Source organism: Homo sapiens, chromosome 3 (genome assembly GCF_000001405.40).
Source record: "Homo sapiens chromosome 3, GRCh38.p14 Primary Assembly".
Taxonomy (NCBI): Eukaryota; Metazoa; Chordata; class Mammalia; order Primates; family Hominidae; genus Homo; species Homo sapiens.
This window is the reverse complement of record NC_000003.12, coordinates 46,050,598-46,068,863: the sequence shown is the minus strand read 5'-3', so window position 1 is coordinate 46,068,863 and position 18,266 is coordinate 46,050,598. Positions and strand designations below refer to the sequence as shown.

At 45.1% G+C, this 18,266-nt stretch overlaps 1 protein-coding gene across 2 annotated transcripts in view; it reads left to right on the top strand.

Annotated features, from left to right (window-relative positions):
- XCR1 (X-C motif chemokine receptor 1) overlaps nucleotides 1–18,266 on the top strand; it is a 68,838-nt gene that overhangs the window by 16,981 nt on the left and 33,591 nt on the right. Inside the window, exons 3-4 of one of the 2 annotated variants that reach the window (NR_170111.1) lie at nucleotides 1,886–1,965; nucleotides 7,184–7,817. The gene's annotated coding sequence lies outside the window, so the exon portion shown is untranslated. Of the gene's footprint in view, nucleotides 1–1,885; nucleotides 1,966–7,183; nucleotides 7,818–14,793; nucleotides 14,945–18,266 lie in introns of those variants that run through there. The other variant, NM_001381860.1, reaches the window with a different exon arrangement.

Genomic DNA, 18,266 nt, shown 5'->3' with positions numbered 1-18,266 from the left:
AAGAGGCTAGAATTTTGTCAGCTAAATTGTGTTGACATGAAAATATATAAGAAACCATACACACACACACACACACACACACGTCCATGATGTTGACACCCGCAGCTAACAGCAGAGAACAAATTCTGATTTTGGAAAAAAACAAGGCTGATGGCAGATAGCATGGTAAACAAGAAACAGGAAAAGGAAGCTGTTTAGGAAGAAAAAATATCAGGTTGGCTCGGCATCTTTAAAAGAATCAGGCCAAACCAGAAACCTCCAGCGGAAATATCAGAGACAATATTTCAATGTCTGGGTTGACTATAGACAAACTGCATTTATTGTAAGTTGACAACACTTCCCCAACTTCCCACCATCACTGCTCTATCATAATAACAAGATCAATCAAAGTAATTCTCCTTTGAAAAACTGAAAGGGAAAAAAGACACTGCATTTAACATAACAATGGAAAGGAAAATTCCAGGAACTAAAGATATATCAAGAAGAAAGCAAGCAAGCCTGTACTTACTAGATGCCAGCAGCTGCTCCCAAGTTGTGATAACCAAAAATGCTTTCAGACGTGGCAAAATTGCACCCAATGAGAGCCACCGGTATAGATATGTGTATCCTTGTTTCCTGTTTTGCATGCTGTAATAAAGCCATGATGCTTGGAGCCATAGCAGCTACCTTGTAATTATGAGGAATGATGCCACAGAGGTGCTGAGGCTGGTAGAATTTGCTGCATCAGCCCTAGAACTACCTTCCTAACAGAAATTATCAGCCTCCCTCTATGTAAGCCACTTTAGTCATGTGCTCTGTTACTGGCAGCCAAGAGCATCCTAGTGAATCCACCAATGACCTTATTCCCCTGCTTAAAATCTTTCATTATTTCTGCATTCAACACTAATTTCAAATTCTATAGCTTAACACACAAAGACCTTTGCCTCCCTCCTCTGCCTTTCCCACCACCCATCTTAGCACACACTTTCCCCTCTTGAGCCAGAGTCCTTTGAATCAGACCTGAGATTTTCTGCCTCCTGAGTTTCTCGTTTGCTGGCCCCTCCACAGCATGTCCTCTTTCCTCTTCTCTCCCTGTTCTCACCCCTATGCACTTTTCAAAACTTAGCCAAGCCACTTCTTCCAGGAGGTTTTCCCTAAATCTCCATGTGACAGTTTTGAAATATGGTCCCCAAGTTAGTTAACAGTCCTCTAATAGAAAGTGATCATGTGTTCCCTGGGGCAGGAATTTGGGCCTCTGTGACCTTTCATAGCTCTGGGCACCAAAGCAGTGTATAATTGACTAATCCAGGGAGGAGTGTTATTCAAGGACACACAGGTGACCTTTGTGGTAAGAATGTGCTATGGGTGACATGAGCTGGCCAGAACTGAAGGCATGGAACCCAATTTAGCCCAACTCATCTCAATCCAACCAGCTAATGCTGCTTATCTTTCCAGTCTCAAACCTTGATGTTCCTGCCTCTTACACCATGCACCTCACCCACACTGAACCCCCTGATGGCCCAGAATATCCACTAGTGCATGAATATTCCCCTAGATCTGGCATTCAGCCCCCTCTCCCTGGATAACTCCTACTTGTCCTTCTGATCCCCCTTTGACATCACCTCCTCCAGGAAGCCTAACCTGCCTCTTCAAAGCTGCTATGCTCAGAGCCTGCCCCTCACATAGAACTTACCACACTGCCTCCTAATCATCCATTTCCATATCTGTGACCTCACAAGTATCTTCACAGGTATTCCTTTTTGAACCCCCAGCACCTAGAGGTATGCTATGCCCAGCTGTGAAAACAAATGTTCACAGCCTGATTGTGCCAATGGCCTGGCTGAATATGCTATGCTCCTGTCCTCCCTTCAGCAAGCATGTATTGAGGTCTGACTCTGTACTGCAGGTATATGGCTTCCTCATTGCACTACTGTCATCATTCAGGTTGCTGGAAAAATCAGCTATTGAGGACCCACCATCTATGTAGTAAGTATCTAACTCATATTAATTTATTTAATCCTCACACCAACTCAGTAAAGTCGGTGTTATAATTATCTGCAATTCAGATAATAAAACTGAGGTGCCAAAATTGCATAGGCACTGAATGCTAGAACCTGGGTTTAAACCCCCGTGGTCTAACTCCAGACCCATGGAATTAACCTCTACTCTGCCTGGCTTCCTTCTTCATGACTGCTTAGACACTTGTTACAAATGCAGAGGCCTGGGCCCCATCCAAAGAGCTTCTGTTTCTACAGGTCTGGGTGGAGCCTGGGAACCTATATATGCCAGGAGCCTCACCTAGTGTAGTCCACACCAACTTCCCACTAAGAAATGATGGCTGTGGCTGGGCGGGATGGCCGACGCCTATAATTGCAGCACTTTGGGAGGCCCAAGTGGGTGGATCAAGAGGTCAAGAGATTGAGACCATCCTGGCCAACATGGTGAAACCCCGTCTCTACTAAAAATATAAAAATTAGCCGGGCGTGGTGGTGCGTGCCTGTAGTCTCAGCTACTCAGAAGGCTGAAGCAGGAGAATCGCTTGAACCCGGGAGGTGGAGGTTGCAGTGAGCTGAGATTGCACTGCTGCACTCCAGCCTGGTGACAGAGTGAGACTCCGAAGAAAAGAAAGAAAAAGAAAGAAAAGAAAAGAAGCAGAGAGAGAGCGAGGGAGGGAGGGAGGGAGGAAGGAAGGAAGGAAGGCAGGCTGTGCCCAAGAGCACCAAGGAGTATGTCTGAGACTACATGGTCTGGTCCTAGTGAGCCTGTCTTGCTGCATCACAACACACTCTGTGCTTACTACCCTCGCTCCCTCCACCAGGAATGCTGTCGCTAGCCTCCCTCCTTCCACCCACCCTTATGTGCTTGAGCAGCAAAGGAGTGAGACAAGGGAGTGAATATATTTTCCTCGGATCTTCCTCTGAGAATGAGTTAGCAAATGCCCCAGGGACATCCCTACGTGGCCTCTTCCGGAGGCCCTGGAGCAGGCAAAGACGCCTCAAGCTTCTCAAATGCCTGTTTAGTCTTTGGTGCTACCAGAAATATCCAAAAGCCTTCATCTAGGACCCTACACACATTTAGAGCACACCGCCCAGGGCTCAGTCCTCTAAGTGCTAACCTTGGTCATTCTCTGAAGCTCCTCACAGCCCTGGTGATTCCAGCAGTAATTTGCTCTGCTTGAGACAGATCTGACCCAGAGAGCAAGGCAGCAGTGGAGCTTGGTGTAGCCCGGGGCCACCACCTGCATTTCCCCAACTCTAATTGGTGATGCCGTGTAAGTGGGCTGTGTGTGGTTGGGTGAGCAGAGCAGGCTTCAAAGAAAAGGGCCTCCACCCAGGAGTCGGTGAATTTTACTGTCACCCGACATCAAGGGAGTATCATATGATATTTGGCAGGTGGCCCAGAACAGCTCAGCTGCCGGAGCTTGTTGTAGAGTGGACAGGTTAGCATTTGGGGGATTCCCCAGAGTGTGGCAAATGGAAGCTCAGGCACCTCTCTTAAAGCCACATCAAAGTTAAGTTGCTAGAAAGCTAGCAAGACTCCTGCAGGTAACAGTCCCTAAGGGGAGCCTGAAAGTGCGGGATGGGTGAAGGTGGGAAGGAAAAGCAGGTTGGGGATTTTCCCCTAACCAATATTACTTGTTTTGACTATTGCTACATAACAAAGTGCCCCAAAATGTAGAGGCTTAAAAGAACCATTTTATTAGATCTTATAATTTTGTGACCCAGAAAGTTGAGTAGAGCTTGGCTGGGTAACTCTATTTTTTTTTCCTTTTTTTTTATTTCTTTATTTTTTTGAGACAGGGTTTTTCTCTTGTTGCCCAGGCTGGAGTGCAATGGCGGGATCTTGGCTCACCACAACCTGCACCTTGCTGGTTCAAGCAATTCTCCTGCCTCAGCCTCCCGAGTAGCTGGGATTACAGGCATGCGCCACCACACCCGGCTAATCTTGTATTTTTAGTAGAGACGGGGTTTCTCCATGTTGGTCAGGCTGTTCTTGAACTCCCAACCTCAGGTGATCCACCCACCTCAGCCTCCCACAGTGCTGGGATTACAGGCGTGAGCCACTGCACCCGCCCTGGGTAACTCTTCCAAGTGGCATCAGTGGGGGTCCCTTGGTGCTGTTGAGCTGGTGGATACCTGGGGCTGAGCAGAGAAGGCTGGAGAGCTAGGCGCAGCTGGAACCATCTACCATTCCTGCATGTGGCCTCACCAGCATGGTGGCTTCATGTGTCGCACTTCGAAAGTGGTGGTCAGAGCACCAAGTGAGAATGTTCCAAGAGACCCAGGTGGAAGCTGCAAGGCTTCTTATGAGCTACAAGTCCAAGAATGTCACTCCAGCCACATTCTATCAGTCAAGCAAGTCAATGAGGGATTTCAAGGGAGTGGAATTGGACTTCATCTCTCAGTGGGAGGAGCAGTAAAGAATTTGCAGCCATATTTAACCTCCCATGATACAAGAGAGCTAGGAAAAACTTGCAAGGCTCATTGTGGGATTTTTTTACTCCATACATGTTTGTTGAGTTCCTGGTATGTGCCAGCTACTGCCCTAGGCACTGGAGAGACAGACCAATGAACAATACAGAGACATGATCCCTGCCCTTATGGAGACTGTAGTCTAAAAGAGTCTAACAAATAATTACGCAGTGCCTGGCACATGATATGTGTTCAGTCAATGTTGAATACTGGTATTATTATTGTTAAATAATCATTAGGGGCCAGACACATTGGCTTACACATGTAATCCCAGCACTTTGGGAGGCCAAGGTGGGAGGATCACTTGAGGCCAGGAGTTTGAGACCAGGATGGGCAACACAGCAAGACTTTGTCTCTACTAAAAATAAAAAAATTATCCTGGCATGGTAACATCCACCTTTAGTCCCAGCTACTAGGGAGGTTGAGGTGGGAGGATTGCTCAAGCCTGGGAGGAGGTCAAGGCTGTAGTGAGCCATAATTGCACCTCTGCACTCCAGCCTGGGTGGCAGAGCGAGGCCCTGTCTCAAAAAATATTAGTAATAACCATTGGGAAAAAAGATTTGCCATAAGCAGATAAACAACAGTGTGCCAAAGGGTACAATCAACAAAGAGGATTACATGTTTAGGAGGTTAACATTTAAGCCAAAGATGAGAAGTAATGAACTAGGGGAAGGGGGACGTGAGAGAGTTTTCAGGCAGAGGAAACAGTGTGTGCCCCACAGTGCAGTGGGCAAGGGCAGTGGGCATCGAGTTAGGCTGGGCAGGTGGCATAAGGACAGATCACCCGAGGCTCTGCCCTTGGGTGTTCATGTAGATCCACCTTCCACCTTTTCCACCTGCCTTGTGCTTCTGAGGACTGATGTGTATGAGCTGCACCCACAGTTCCCTTTTCTCCTGGTTGGCGACAGTGGAGGCACCAGCAGGAGTTTAGACAGGGGAACTCAGGGGTCGGGGGAAAAAGAAAGTGGAGTATGTATTTTTCTGGTTTCGTCTCTGCTGGACTGGGGTGAAAGTAACCATGTTCCTCTGCCCACGGCTGTGTGCCCTGCCAAGCAGCCCTCTCCTAAGGCTTTAGGTCTTACTAGGTTCTCCAATGGCTCTTTCTCCTATGTGCTCAGGCCTAGGATTAGTAGCAGCTTCCCACTATTGTTAGATCAGGGATACTTTACCATCCCTTCTTGCATTCCCTATATCCTGCCACACCTTTGTAAATGGTCTCTTCCTTGAATTGTCATCAATTACCTTTTTGAGAGAGCCACTTGATTCCTACTGGGACCCTGAATGATAGAGCTATAGCAGCTAGGATAATAATTCGGAACTTTATCCCAATAGCAATTCTAAGAAAATGATAACCTTCCATTCAGTGGTGTGCTAGTAAATTTTAACAACCAGGTCTCTAAAGGAAAAAGCTCTGATTTGCAGTGTTTGTCTTGAGGTCCAAATACTTCCACTTTGGCTGATTTCAAGCTTGCAACTTTCCTAAAAATAGAACACAAACTGGTATGAGCCAGCTCCTGCATACTTCTGCCCAGATCCAAAACCAACTCTCCTATCTTCCACCACTAGAGCCACCCCAGCCCAGAGATAGGCTAGGAGTTCCATCGGAGACGACAGGCCCTCTGGATGCTGCCAACCTCCTTTCTGCTCCTTTCCACAAGGCCCTGTTGCCTCCTGGGGAAAGGATGGCCCATGTTAGGCTTGAGAAGCCAGAATGGCCCTGAGCTCCTGTTCTGTTGGAATTTCAAAAGTGAACCCCAAGAGGGAATTAGAGATACAAGAGAACTATTGGGGAAAATTCCCAAAAGAGTAACGGGAGAAGGAGCAAAAGTAGGCAGGGAGAGCCTTTAGACAGAGATGCAGATCCAGCACCTATAAAAGGAAGGGGGAAGGAAAAAGGATCCAGGAGGTTGAACCTTAGACCGTAACATAGAAAGTTCTGAGGAAGTCTTGGCAAGGCCAATGGGGAGACCCAGGGCAAAAGTTGCCCTTAGAGGAGTTCTGCTCCAGGCAAGAATGGGAGGGCTCCAAGTTCAGTCATTAGCCAGAAGTAGTGGGGGGTGTGGGGAGACTGGCATGTGGCCTCAGTGTTCATGGTGGAAGTAGCTGAGGCCATCATTCCACCATGCATCCTGCAGCAGGGTCTCCTGAAGGACAGCTGAGCGGGCATGTCCATGGCTGCTGCAGGGACTCACATCCACTGGTCCTGCTTCCAGGAGGCCTGCATCTCCCCAAGGAGTTCAGAAACCATCTATTTTCTCCTGAACCCTAACCACTCACTGAAAAAGCCCCAAAGTCCCAGAGGTGCCCTGGGCCCAATTCTGCTGACTCAACGTCTTCTGTATGTAATGGGCACTGTCCAAATTGGAGTCTGGCTGACACCTCCAAAAGCTTATGGCACTCCCTTCATGATCCTTTGCCACACAAAACCCTTCCCTTAGGGGTTCCGGGGATGGAATCCATCCCAGAGAAGATACCTTCTATGCCAGACTCTTCAAATCCAGCTTTGCCCACAGTGCTGGACCTAGCTGGGCCTCTGAATTCAAGCCCCCATTCCAATGCTTTACACTCACCTGGGGCTTTCTCAGTCACCATGCCCAGATGCCCAGGAGACCAGGGAAAGAAGCCCAGGCCTGGCACCCCCATGACTCCTTCTGGCATCAGCCGCCTAACCCCCATCCTCTGTACCTCTAACTCCCCATATTCCTTTCCCCTCGCAGGACCCCAGGCTCCAGCTTCACTGAGATATGGCTGTATCTTCTGATTTTAAAAGGACTGTCCTAAGGAGTCCTTGGAAGCCATGCTTCAGCCCAAAGGTTCTCAGCAAGGAAGTTGAGCAACATCCCATAAGAGAGAAGGGAATGCAGGGGAATGTCCCACGTGAATGTTCACCAAAGGGTGAACTCAGTAGAGGAAATTTTTAATAATCAAGTGGTTTGGATGATCCACTCTGTGAGTCAGTTAGCTTCTTTCTCCAGACACTCCTGTCATCTCCCAACAGATTCATGGACAAAGTGGCCATGGTGGCAGGAATTGAAGTTATGCATGGGCTCAGCAACATGGACTTACACTCACCAAGGCTGACCTGGCTGCAGCCTCTGCTGAGCATTCAGTTGGCCAGAAGCAAAGATCAACACTGAGTCTCTGATAGGGACAATTCCCCAGAGTGATCAGCCAGCTTATTTAGTGGTAAGCTGACTACACGGGACTGTTTCCATCATGGAAGAGGCAGTGTTTTGTTCTTACTGGAATAGACACTTACTCTGGACACAGATTTGCTTTCCTCCCATTCCCCCCACCAAAAAGGATTTGCTTTTTCTGAATGCAATGCTTCTGCAAAAAATAAAAAATAAAATAGTAATAATACCATCTGTGGACTTGAAGAATACTTTTTCCACCATCATGGTATTCCCACATAACATTACTTCTGAGTAAGGAACTCACTTCACACCAAATGAAGTGTGGCAGTGGGCTTATGCCTATTCAATTTACTGGACTAACCATATTCCCCATCATCCTGAAGCAGCAGGCTTGATAGAATAGTGGAATGGCCTGTGAAGACTCAATTATGGTGGCAGCCAGATGGCAATATCTTGTAGTACTGGGGAAGCGTCCTCCAGGAGGATGTGTGTGCTGTAAATCAGCATCCAATATACATACTGTTTCTCCATAGCCAGGAGTCACCGGTCCAGGAATCAGGAGATAGAAATGGGAGTGGCACCACTCACTATTACCATAGGTAATCCCCTAGCAAAATGTTTGCTTCTGTTCCTGTGACCTTATGCTCAGCTGGTCTACAGGTCTTAGTTACAAAGGGAGGAATGCTTCCACCAGGAGATTCAACAATGATTCCATTGAATTACAAGTTAAAACTGCCACCCTGCCACTTTGGGCTCCTCTTACCTATGAATTAACAGGCAAATAAGGGAGTGCTGTGTTGGTTGGGATGATTGATCCTGATTACCAAAGGGAAATTGGGCTGCTACTACACAATAGAAGAAGACAAAGTATATTTGTAATACAAGAGATTCCTTAGGGCACCTATTAGTACTACCATGTCCTGTGATTAAAGTCAATGGAGAACTACAACCGAGTTCAGGAAGAACTGCTAATGGCCCAGGTTTCAGAAATGAAGATTGGGGTCACCCACCAAGCAAAGAACCATGGCAAGCTTAGGTGCTTACTGAGGGCAAAAGGAATAAGTCATGGGTAGTGGAAGAAGGTATCTATAAATAGATACAGCTATGTTATATAAACAGCTATGACCATATGACCAGATGCAGAAATGAGGACTATATATGAGTATTTCTTTCTATTTTGTTATATGTTTGTACGGATAGATATGCATTAAGCAAATATTTTTGAGTTTTTCCCTCTTTATACTCTTATCATCTAACATAAGATGTATTAACAGTGATTGACTTTACGTCCTAGTATTTAAGTTACAAGGTATCTAGGGAAAGAACTACTATCACTCAAGGACACTGCAACCTGTTCCAGGGAAAAGGTTAGCACAATTTCAGTTGTATCATGTTAATAGAAAGTATGACTTTCTTATTGTAAAGATAGATATAGATATAAATATAGACGATAGCTGTAGATATCCATTCTTCTGGTTTTGTTTCTTTGGTGGAACGTTTATTTACACACACCTCAATAAAGGTGTATACACAAACACAAAAACTTTGTCAGGGACATTGGTCATGAGTATTCAGTCCTCAGCCAAGTGGAAGTGAAAAGTAGCCAGGCACCATTTCCTCTTTTTTGCTAAAAGTGGGAAATGGAATACGTATACTGCATGTTATATAGAAGTAAGAGTGAAAGTTTTTTTTTTAACATCATTGTCACTGAAATTAGAAATTGGGAACTAAGATTTTCTTTCTGAAATCAACTAGCAAATTCAAATGTTCACAGGCTGCAATTTGTGGGACTGAACCCTGAGACTGTCTATAAATAATGTGATTGAGAGTTTAAGTACCTATTTTTCCTTCCAAGCAAAATGAACAACCAAGTGCAATGCTCCAAGTTCTGCCTACTGGGAGTATTTCTTCTCATCACTGTGGTTTAGGAATGACCCAGAGAGAAGATGTATTGCTACACCTGAACATCTTGGGTGATGCCTGCATATTGTGCACAACCAACTATAAGCAAACTTGAGTTTTTCTCTTCCTCATTCAGCTAATCACAGGGAATTCTTCATGAGGCCATAGGTACAGGCTGAGACAGAGAAGGCAGTGTAGGAAGAATCAGCTCTATAGGTATATGGGCCACTTCCTCAGCTAACTTTCTTGTGCCTTCAAGGCTGGCTCGGGCCTGTCTCATATTTACCATTTCCATTTGATGATGGAGTGCTATTGTGCACACCCCACCTTAGGATTTAGTGGGTCAGACAGCAGTAAAAGGGCTGCTTCTGCTGGCAAAGAAGACTCAACAATATTTAGGGATGTAATGACCCCACCTTCCTTAGGATCTTTTCATATGTCCCCACTCTGATTTTGAAGAGCCCATTACTTCCCAATCAATGCCTTCACTCTAACAGAAGACACCCTATGGCCGGTCATCATGGCTCACACTTGTAATCCCAGCACTTTGGGAGGCCAAGGTGGGTGGATCCCTTGACCTCAGGAGTTCAAGACCAGCCTAGGCAACATGGTAAAACCCTGTTTCTACAAAAATACAGGAAAACTAGCTGGGCATGGTGGCACCCGTCTATAGTCCCAGCTATTCAGGACTACAACTACTCAGGAGGCTGAGGTGGGAGGATCGCTTGAGCCCAGGAGGTAGAAGCTGCACTAAGCCATGATCTCACCACTGCACTCCAGCCCTGGTGACAGAGTAAGACCTTGTCTAAAATAAAATAAAATCAGAAGATGCCCTGCAACGTTGTGAATTCAATTTGCATTGTAATACAGCCACTTGCAGGATAAGACTCAGGATTTGGTTTTCAGAAATTCCAGTCCTGCATCTACAGAGACAGGGTTTCTTTAAGGACAGACATAGAAGCTTTTGGATCATATATGTGGAGCTCAGCTGGCAATTTGAAGCCCTGAGTTCATCCTTTTCCTTCTCCACTTTCTCTAACATAGTCAGGAGCAACCAGCCAATCTCACTATACACCTTATTTTGACTAAATGCCCCAAAGGTATCAAATACATGATCACCAGAACCTTACCTTTAATAAGCATTTGATCAGGAATATCCAGGAATATTTTGCCACCTCATTCCATGCCCTCTTTACCAATGGAAATAGAGTCATTACTGGCCTTAAATTGAATCATACGAGAGAGGCAATTCAGAAAATTCATCCTTAAGATTTTGTTCTTTTAGAACCACTTCCATTACCTAAATCCATATGAGTCAGGCTTTCACTAGAGAAACAGAACCAGTAGGATATCCAGTAGGATGTAGGAGATAGGTAGCAAGATAGATGATCGATAGATGATAGATACATAGATGGCAGATAGATAGATAGATGGATGCGTAGATAGATAGATAGATAGATAGATAGATAGATAGATAGATAGATAGATAGACAGACAGATAAGATGATAATAGGTACTAGATAGAGATTTATTGCAAGAAATTGTCTTACACAATTGTAGGGACTGATTAGGGAAATCCAAACTCTGCAGGGCAGCCATCGGGAAGAGCAGGCTGGAACTCTCAGGTAAAGGCTAACTGCAATCCACAGGCAGAATTTCTTCTTCAGGGAAACCAGTTCTGCATTCACGCCTTTCAACTCTAGGAGGAATCGGGCCTCCTAGAGTATTAGGAATAATTTCCTTTCCATAAAGTAAACCGATTGTAGATGTTAATCACATCTACAACACCTAGAATCATGTCTGATTGAATAGCTGTGGAATACAGCCTAGCCTAGATGGCACATAAAACTGGCTATCACAAGGTATAATTAAAGTACAATAAACTGCACCTATTTAAAGTGTGTCTTCTGATTTATTTTAACATATGTGGAAACCCATGAAATTATCACCAAAATCAAGACGCCAATTTTTTCATCATCCCCAACAGTTGCTTTGCGCCCCTTTATAATCCATCTTTCCCTCATCCCAAACCCCAGGCAACCACTGATCTGATCTGTTTCAGTCACTATAAATTAGTTGGCATTTTCTAGAACTTTACATAAATGGAATCAAGCCAGGTGCAGTAGCATATGCCTATGGTCCCAGCTACTTGGCTAGCTGAGGCAGTTGACTCTCTTGAGCTCAAGAATTTAAGTCCAGCCTAGAAAACATAGCAGGACTCACCTCTAAAAACTAAAAACGGAAAACAATGGAATCATACATTATGTACTCTTTCTTGCTTCTTGCATTTAGCATCATTATTTTGAGGTTCACTCACATTGTAGGGTGATGATGAATCTGTTTCTTTTTAATGCTGAGAGTATTTCACTGTGTGGATATTCCACAGTTGATTTATCCTTTCACCCACTGATGGACACTAGGGCTGCTTTAAGTTTTGCTTTATTACAAGTAAAGCTGCTACGGTCTTTTGTGAGCAAATGTTTGCACGGAAATTGTTTTTGGCTTTCTCTAGTAAATACCTAGGAGCCAGATGACTCCTAGGTAAACAAACACATGGGTGTTTGTTTAACTTTCAAAGAAGCTGCCAGCCAGGTACAGGGGCTCCAAGCCTGTAATCCCACCACTTTGGGAAGCCAAGGTGGGCAGATCACTTGAGTTCAGGAGTTGGAGACCAGCCTGAGCAAGATGGCGAAACCCCATCTCTACAAAAAAAAAAATAAATAAATACAAAAATTAGCCAGGTGTGGTGGCATGCGCCTGTAGTCCCAGTTATTTGAGGGGCTGAGGCAGGAGAATTGCTTGAGTCCAGGAGGTTGAGGCTGCAGCGAGCTGTGATTGCACCACTGCACTCTAGCCTGGGCAACAGTGTGAGACCCTGTCTCAAAAAAAATAAAAGAAAGAAAAACTGCCAAACTGCTTTCTAGAATAATTGTACCATCCCCCCAAGTTTTAAATTTGTCACCCAAAAGTCCTTGATTGGTATGTGGGTCATAAATTTTGTGTTAAAAGAAGTATTGAAATGAAAACTTGAGGCTGGTTGCAGTGGCTCACGCCTGTAATCCCAACACTTAGGGAGGCTGAGGCAGGTGGATCACCTGAGGTCAGGAATTTGAGGCCAGCCTGGCCAACATGGTGAAACCCCATCTCTACTAAAAATAAAAAGAAAAAAAACGAACTCTTGAAATGCTAGTCTGACCCCTATATAACAAGCACTGCACCTACACCACACATTTCTGAGAGCAGTAGGAAGAAGAGTGGAGGAAGACAGTCCCAGCCAGCCTAAGGAGTCAAGAGACTGCTTAACAACCAATCCCAACCCCAAGCCCAATCTTGGAAACAAGTGTGGCTCCCCTTAAACCAAGCCCTAGAAACCTGAGACTTTGGAGCCAGACAAGTTGGACTGAATCCCACTCAACCACCATTTTCTTGCTGATTAACTGTGAGTGACTTTAACCTCTGAGCACCTCTGCTGGCTTATCTGCAAATTTCAAATATTGATTGTCTCTTCTTCATAGTGTTGTTAAGAGATCTGATTAAGTTGATGCTTGGCAGAGTGGTGGTGGCTCCCTTAACTCCATGTTTCCACATGGGCCCTACTGCTGGACAAGCAGGGATCCTTCAAGGTACCTTGAAATTACGGAATCCAGGTCTCCAGAGGACCCTCTGAGGTACTGTAACTGTAATAGGTTCATTGCCTGATGCACAGAGCAAGTCAGTACACCAAGACACCGGGTTGCAGCAGAGAAAGAGGTTTAATCATAGGGCCACTGAATGAGGAGATGGGAAGAAACTTCAAATCTGTCTCACTGAGGAGTTTGTGGCTAGGGTTTTTAAGGGTTTTGGAGTGAGCCAAAGTGTGGAGACTGTTGACTGGTCAAAGAGTGCAGGGTGAAGTCATGGGACAAGAGGATGAAGAAACTGTATTTTCATTATGATCCATTCGTCTGGAGGGGTCTTCAAACTAGTTGGCAACAGCTGTTTGGCTGGAATTTGGGATCTGGAAAACATCTTAGAAATTCTTAAACAAAAACCTTCTGATTTTGTTTATGATTGTTTTGTTCATGTACATGACTCAGATCTTATCTATCTTAAATAAAAGCCTTATGATTCTAACATCAGAAATCCTATCTATAGGAACAACAGGGATGCCAATGGTCAGTATCAAGTGCTACGTGACTTTTGGTTACAAAGAAGTGAGTGGAAGTGTACCCTGATTAATGCTTCATTATATGTATTTCTGTCCAAAATTCTTGTTAACTCTGCAAGGATGGCTTCAGCACTCTGTCTACTTCTTCCTGGCCTGAACTCAATACACTGCAGAGGGCAACAAGGGATATAACTTAAGAGAGACCTTCTTCCTCCCACCCTGAGTTACATATGCCTTTTCTGCTAAGGATTCCACCAGTGATCGATTTCCTTAGGTCAGTTTTTCCTGATCTTGGCTGACCATTGGCTCCTAGGTGCATTTGACTGATCATCCGTGTCTGTGGACCACTTCTTATTCAGGTGGCAATGCTTCCCAGCACAAACCAATGAGATGCCTGACCCCCTCATTCATCATGATTGCTTCCTTGCCCCTCCCTAGTTCCTGTTTTTTTACACATTGTTACATTTCTTTCCTGCTATATAAACCTCTAGTTTTAGTTGGTCAGGGAGATGGATTTGAGACTGAGCTCCCATCTCCTCAGCTGCAGCACCTGATTAAAGCTTTCTTCCTTGGTAATACTCGTCATCTCAGTCACTGATTTTCTGTGCAGCCAGCAGCAGTACCTACACCAAACCCCTGGTGTTTCGGTAACAGTAATCCATCACACTCGCCCCCCCCTCGTCCTTTTGAGTGTCCATTGTCTACCATTCCACACTCTACACTCTTGTGTACACATTATTTAGTTCCCACTTTGCAGGGAGCCGAACGCCCGTGGGACTGACCAACTCAGCATTCCACTGGATGCTATATGATCAAACAACAAACTGTTTATCATGAACGCAGGATCTGGGCAAACTCACGACTGCTCCCACTGCCAGAAGGTTTGCTGAGGGCAATCGCTTCCTGGCCTCAAGCTCCTTGAGGTTATCTACTGGGACATCTAGAGAATGCAGTCTTGCAAGCCTACTCTGGACCAAGCAGCTGACCCCTTCTTCCACACCCACCTTCTCGCTATCTCTTTTGCCTAATAAATATGGAGGGCTGTGTAAAGCTCAGGGCCCTTGTCCACTAGAGGCAAGGTGCTCCCTGACCCCTTCTTCCAAATATGCTCTTTTGTCTTTGTCTTTTATTCCCGCGTTTGCCCCCCTTTGTTCAGTCCCCCTAGGTCCATGTGGGTTACATAGTGGCACCCCAGAAAAGGGACTTTGAGGACGTGAATGAAGAAGATCTGCTGGAGCAGAGGAACTGAAACTGACAAGGCGAACAGGGAGCCCGGGATGAGTCTGCCAGCAGCGGATATAATTATGGTCAGTGCCCTAAAGAGCTACTGGGAGCAGTGCCTTAAAGTAGTACTGGGAATGGGAAGTTTTCTGAATCAGGGTAACATGGGGCAGAATTGGTCTGTTGAAGAAAAACATTATGTGCAGTTGCTTAAAGTTTTGTTGAAACAAACTGGTGCTCAGGTTAGTTCTCACATTAACTAAGATGCTATGGGAGGTTATTATGCATAACCCATGGTTTCCACAGGCAGGCACTCTTGATGTGGAAAATTGGGACAGAGCAGGAGAAGGATTAAAACAGGTTCATCAAAAAGGTTTTAAAGTTATTCTTCAGTTTTCTCCTCTTGGAGTTTAGTTCGTACTGTACTTCTGCCATTATCTCCTTATTATTCTGCGGGACAGCAGGCTGAATCTAAAAATCTGAAAGAATCTGTTGTCCCACCCACAGCTCCAATTGAAAATAAAAAACAGGAGAGGGAGGATAAAAATTGGCCTATACCGCCCCCTCCAGTTGCAGAAACATCTGTACCGCCTCCTTCGGTGGCAGAAACAGAGACCCCAATACAAAGAATTTTACGTTCTGCTGCCATGGCTGGAGAGCCCTTAGGACCTCGTGCTTTTCCTATTTCCGTAAGTCCTGATCCAAATAATCCACAGCAGCTTAATCATGAACACACTCCACTAGAGTTTAAGTTGTTAAAGGAATTAAAAGCGAGTGTGGTAAATAATGGCGTACAGAGCCCATTCACTTTAGGATTGCTAGAATCTGTGTTTGGTGCTATGTGTCTTCTACCCTTTGATGTGAAACACTTGGCGCAAACTTGCTTGTCTGCTAGCGCATATCTGACATGGAATTTAAACTGGCAAGAACTGGGTGCAGACCAGGCTGGATAGAACCATGCTGCTGGAAACGGAGACATTATAAAGGATATGCTATTGGGTAATGGCCCTTATTCAGACCTGGAACATGAAATGATACTCACAAATGCTGCTTATCAGCAGTGCACACAGGCCACTAAATGCGCCTGGGCCACAATTCCTTAAGAGGGAGTCCCAGTATAATCCTTTTTACATATCACGCAAGGGTCGCAAGAAACCTAGGCACAATTTCTTGCAAGATTACAAGATGCAGTGAAGCGTCAGATTCCTCATACCTTGGCTGCAGAAATGCTAACCTTTACTCTAGCTTTTGAGAATGCAAACGCAGATTATGAACGCGCACTGGCACCGGTGAGGTGTACAAAGAACTTGGGAAATTTTCTCAGAGCTTGTCAGGATGTAAGAACTGAACTTCATTGCTCTTCAATGCTAGCTGAAGTAATAGCTAATTTAGTAGTTGACAAATCTAAAAGGAGCCAAGGGTCAGGCTCTAAAATGGGAAAGTGTTATAATTGTGGAAAAACTGGATATTGTAAAAAGGAATGCCACCAGATCTCAGGACAGAAAGGATCTTACAATGCAGTGCCCCACCCAGGGGAAAAAATACCAGGACTGTCCTCCCTATAACAAAGGAAATCACTGGGCTAATCAGTGCCACTCAAAATTTCATCAGAATGGCACCCCCCTGTTGGGAAATGAGACGGGGGCCTGGACCCGGGCCCCACAAACAATCAGGGCATCCCCAGCCCAGACCTCAACCCCGTTTCAGGCATGGGTTCCCAGAGGCATATTGATTCCCTCACCCCAGGAACACCAGGAAGTGCAGGATTAGATCTCCCAGCCAGACAAAGGGTTACATTAGTTGGGGGAGACAAACCCATCAAAGTTCCCACCGGTATTTGGGGACATTTACCAGCAGGATATATGGGACTAATTTTAGGCAAAAGCCGCCTTAACTTGCAAGGCATTACTGTAGTCCCAGGAGTTGTTGACTCTGGTTATGAAGGAGAAATTCAAGTTTTTTTTTTGTTTTTGTTTTTTTGAGATGGAGTCTCACTTTGTTGCCCAGACTGAAGTGCAGTGGCGCAATCTTGTCTCACTGCAAGCTCCGCCTCCCGGGTCCATGCCATTCTCCTGCCTCAGCCTCCCAAGTAGCTGGGACTACAGGCGCCCGCCACCACACCTGGCTAATTTTTTGTATTTTTAGTAGAGACACAGTTTCACCGTATTAGCCAGGATGGTCTCAATCTCCTGACCTCGTGATCCGCCTGCCTCAGCCTCACAAAGTGCTGGGATTACAGGCGTGAGCCACCGCTCCCAGCCAATTCAAGTAGTTTTAATGTCACAAGATCTTTGGGTTTTTGAACTGAGAGAATACATAGTGCAATTATTACTTATTCCCTGCAAATTACACCCTTCTCCACAAAAGGAGAAACAAGGAAATAAAGGGTTTGGGAGCACAACTACGCGGGAAATCTATCTACCCCAACCCATAGCCTCTAATAGACCCACCTGTGTAGTACAAATTAAAGGAAAGAAATTTTATGGGCTTATGGATATGGGAGCTGATGTGTCAGTAATATCTAAAGACAATTGGCCCCCATCCTGGCCCTTGCAATTAACTTCTACGTCCTTAGTGGGAGCAAGAACAGCTCAAAGTGTTCAACAGAGTGCTGAGATTTTACCTTGTCTTGGTCTGGATGGACAGTCATGTACTTTTCAGCCTTATGTCACAAATATAGCTATCAATTTATGGGGTCAAGACTGACTTACAGCATGGGATATGAGACTTACAAATAAAAACTTTGATAACCCAGGATTTAAAATGTTGAAGAACATGAGATATCAGAGTGGAAAAGGTTTGGGGAGGTTTCTACAAGAAAACCCTAATCTGTTATCAGTAACTGGAAAAACAGATAGAAAAGCAGCTAGAGCGTCAGAATTTCTGACGGGGGTCATTGATATTTCTCCTCCGCCTAAGCCCTTACCATTAGAATGGCTTAGTGACAAACCTGTGTGGGTGGATCAATGACCCCTAACACAGGAGAAGCTAGATCAACTTCATCTGTTGGTAAAAGAGCAATTGAATGCAGGACATACAGAAAAGTCAGCCCCTGGAATTCACCGGTATTTGTTATTCCAAAAAAAGTCCAGAAGATGGTGATTGCTGCATAATTTGAGAGCTATTAATGCACAAATTAAACCGATGGGCGCATTACAGCAAGGTTTACCTTCCCCAGTGGCCATTTCAAGAGACTGGCCTCTTGTAATTATAGATCTTAAGGATAGTTTCTTTACTATACCCTCCTTACACGAGAAGGATGAGCCTCTATTTGCCTTCTCTGTGCCTTCTGTTAATCAAAGAGAACGTGTCTCACTATCAATGGGAAGTTTTACCTCAAGGCATGCTTAACAGTCCCACATTACCTCAGCATTTTGTGGGAGGAGCATTAAAGGAGCCTCAAAATAT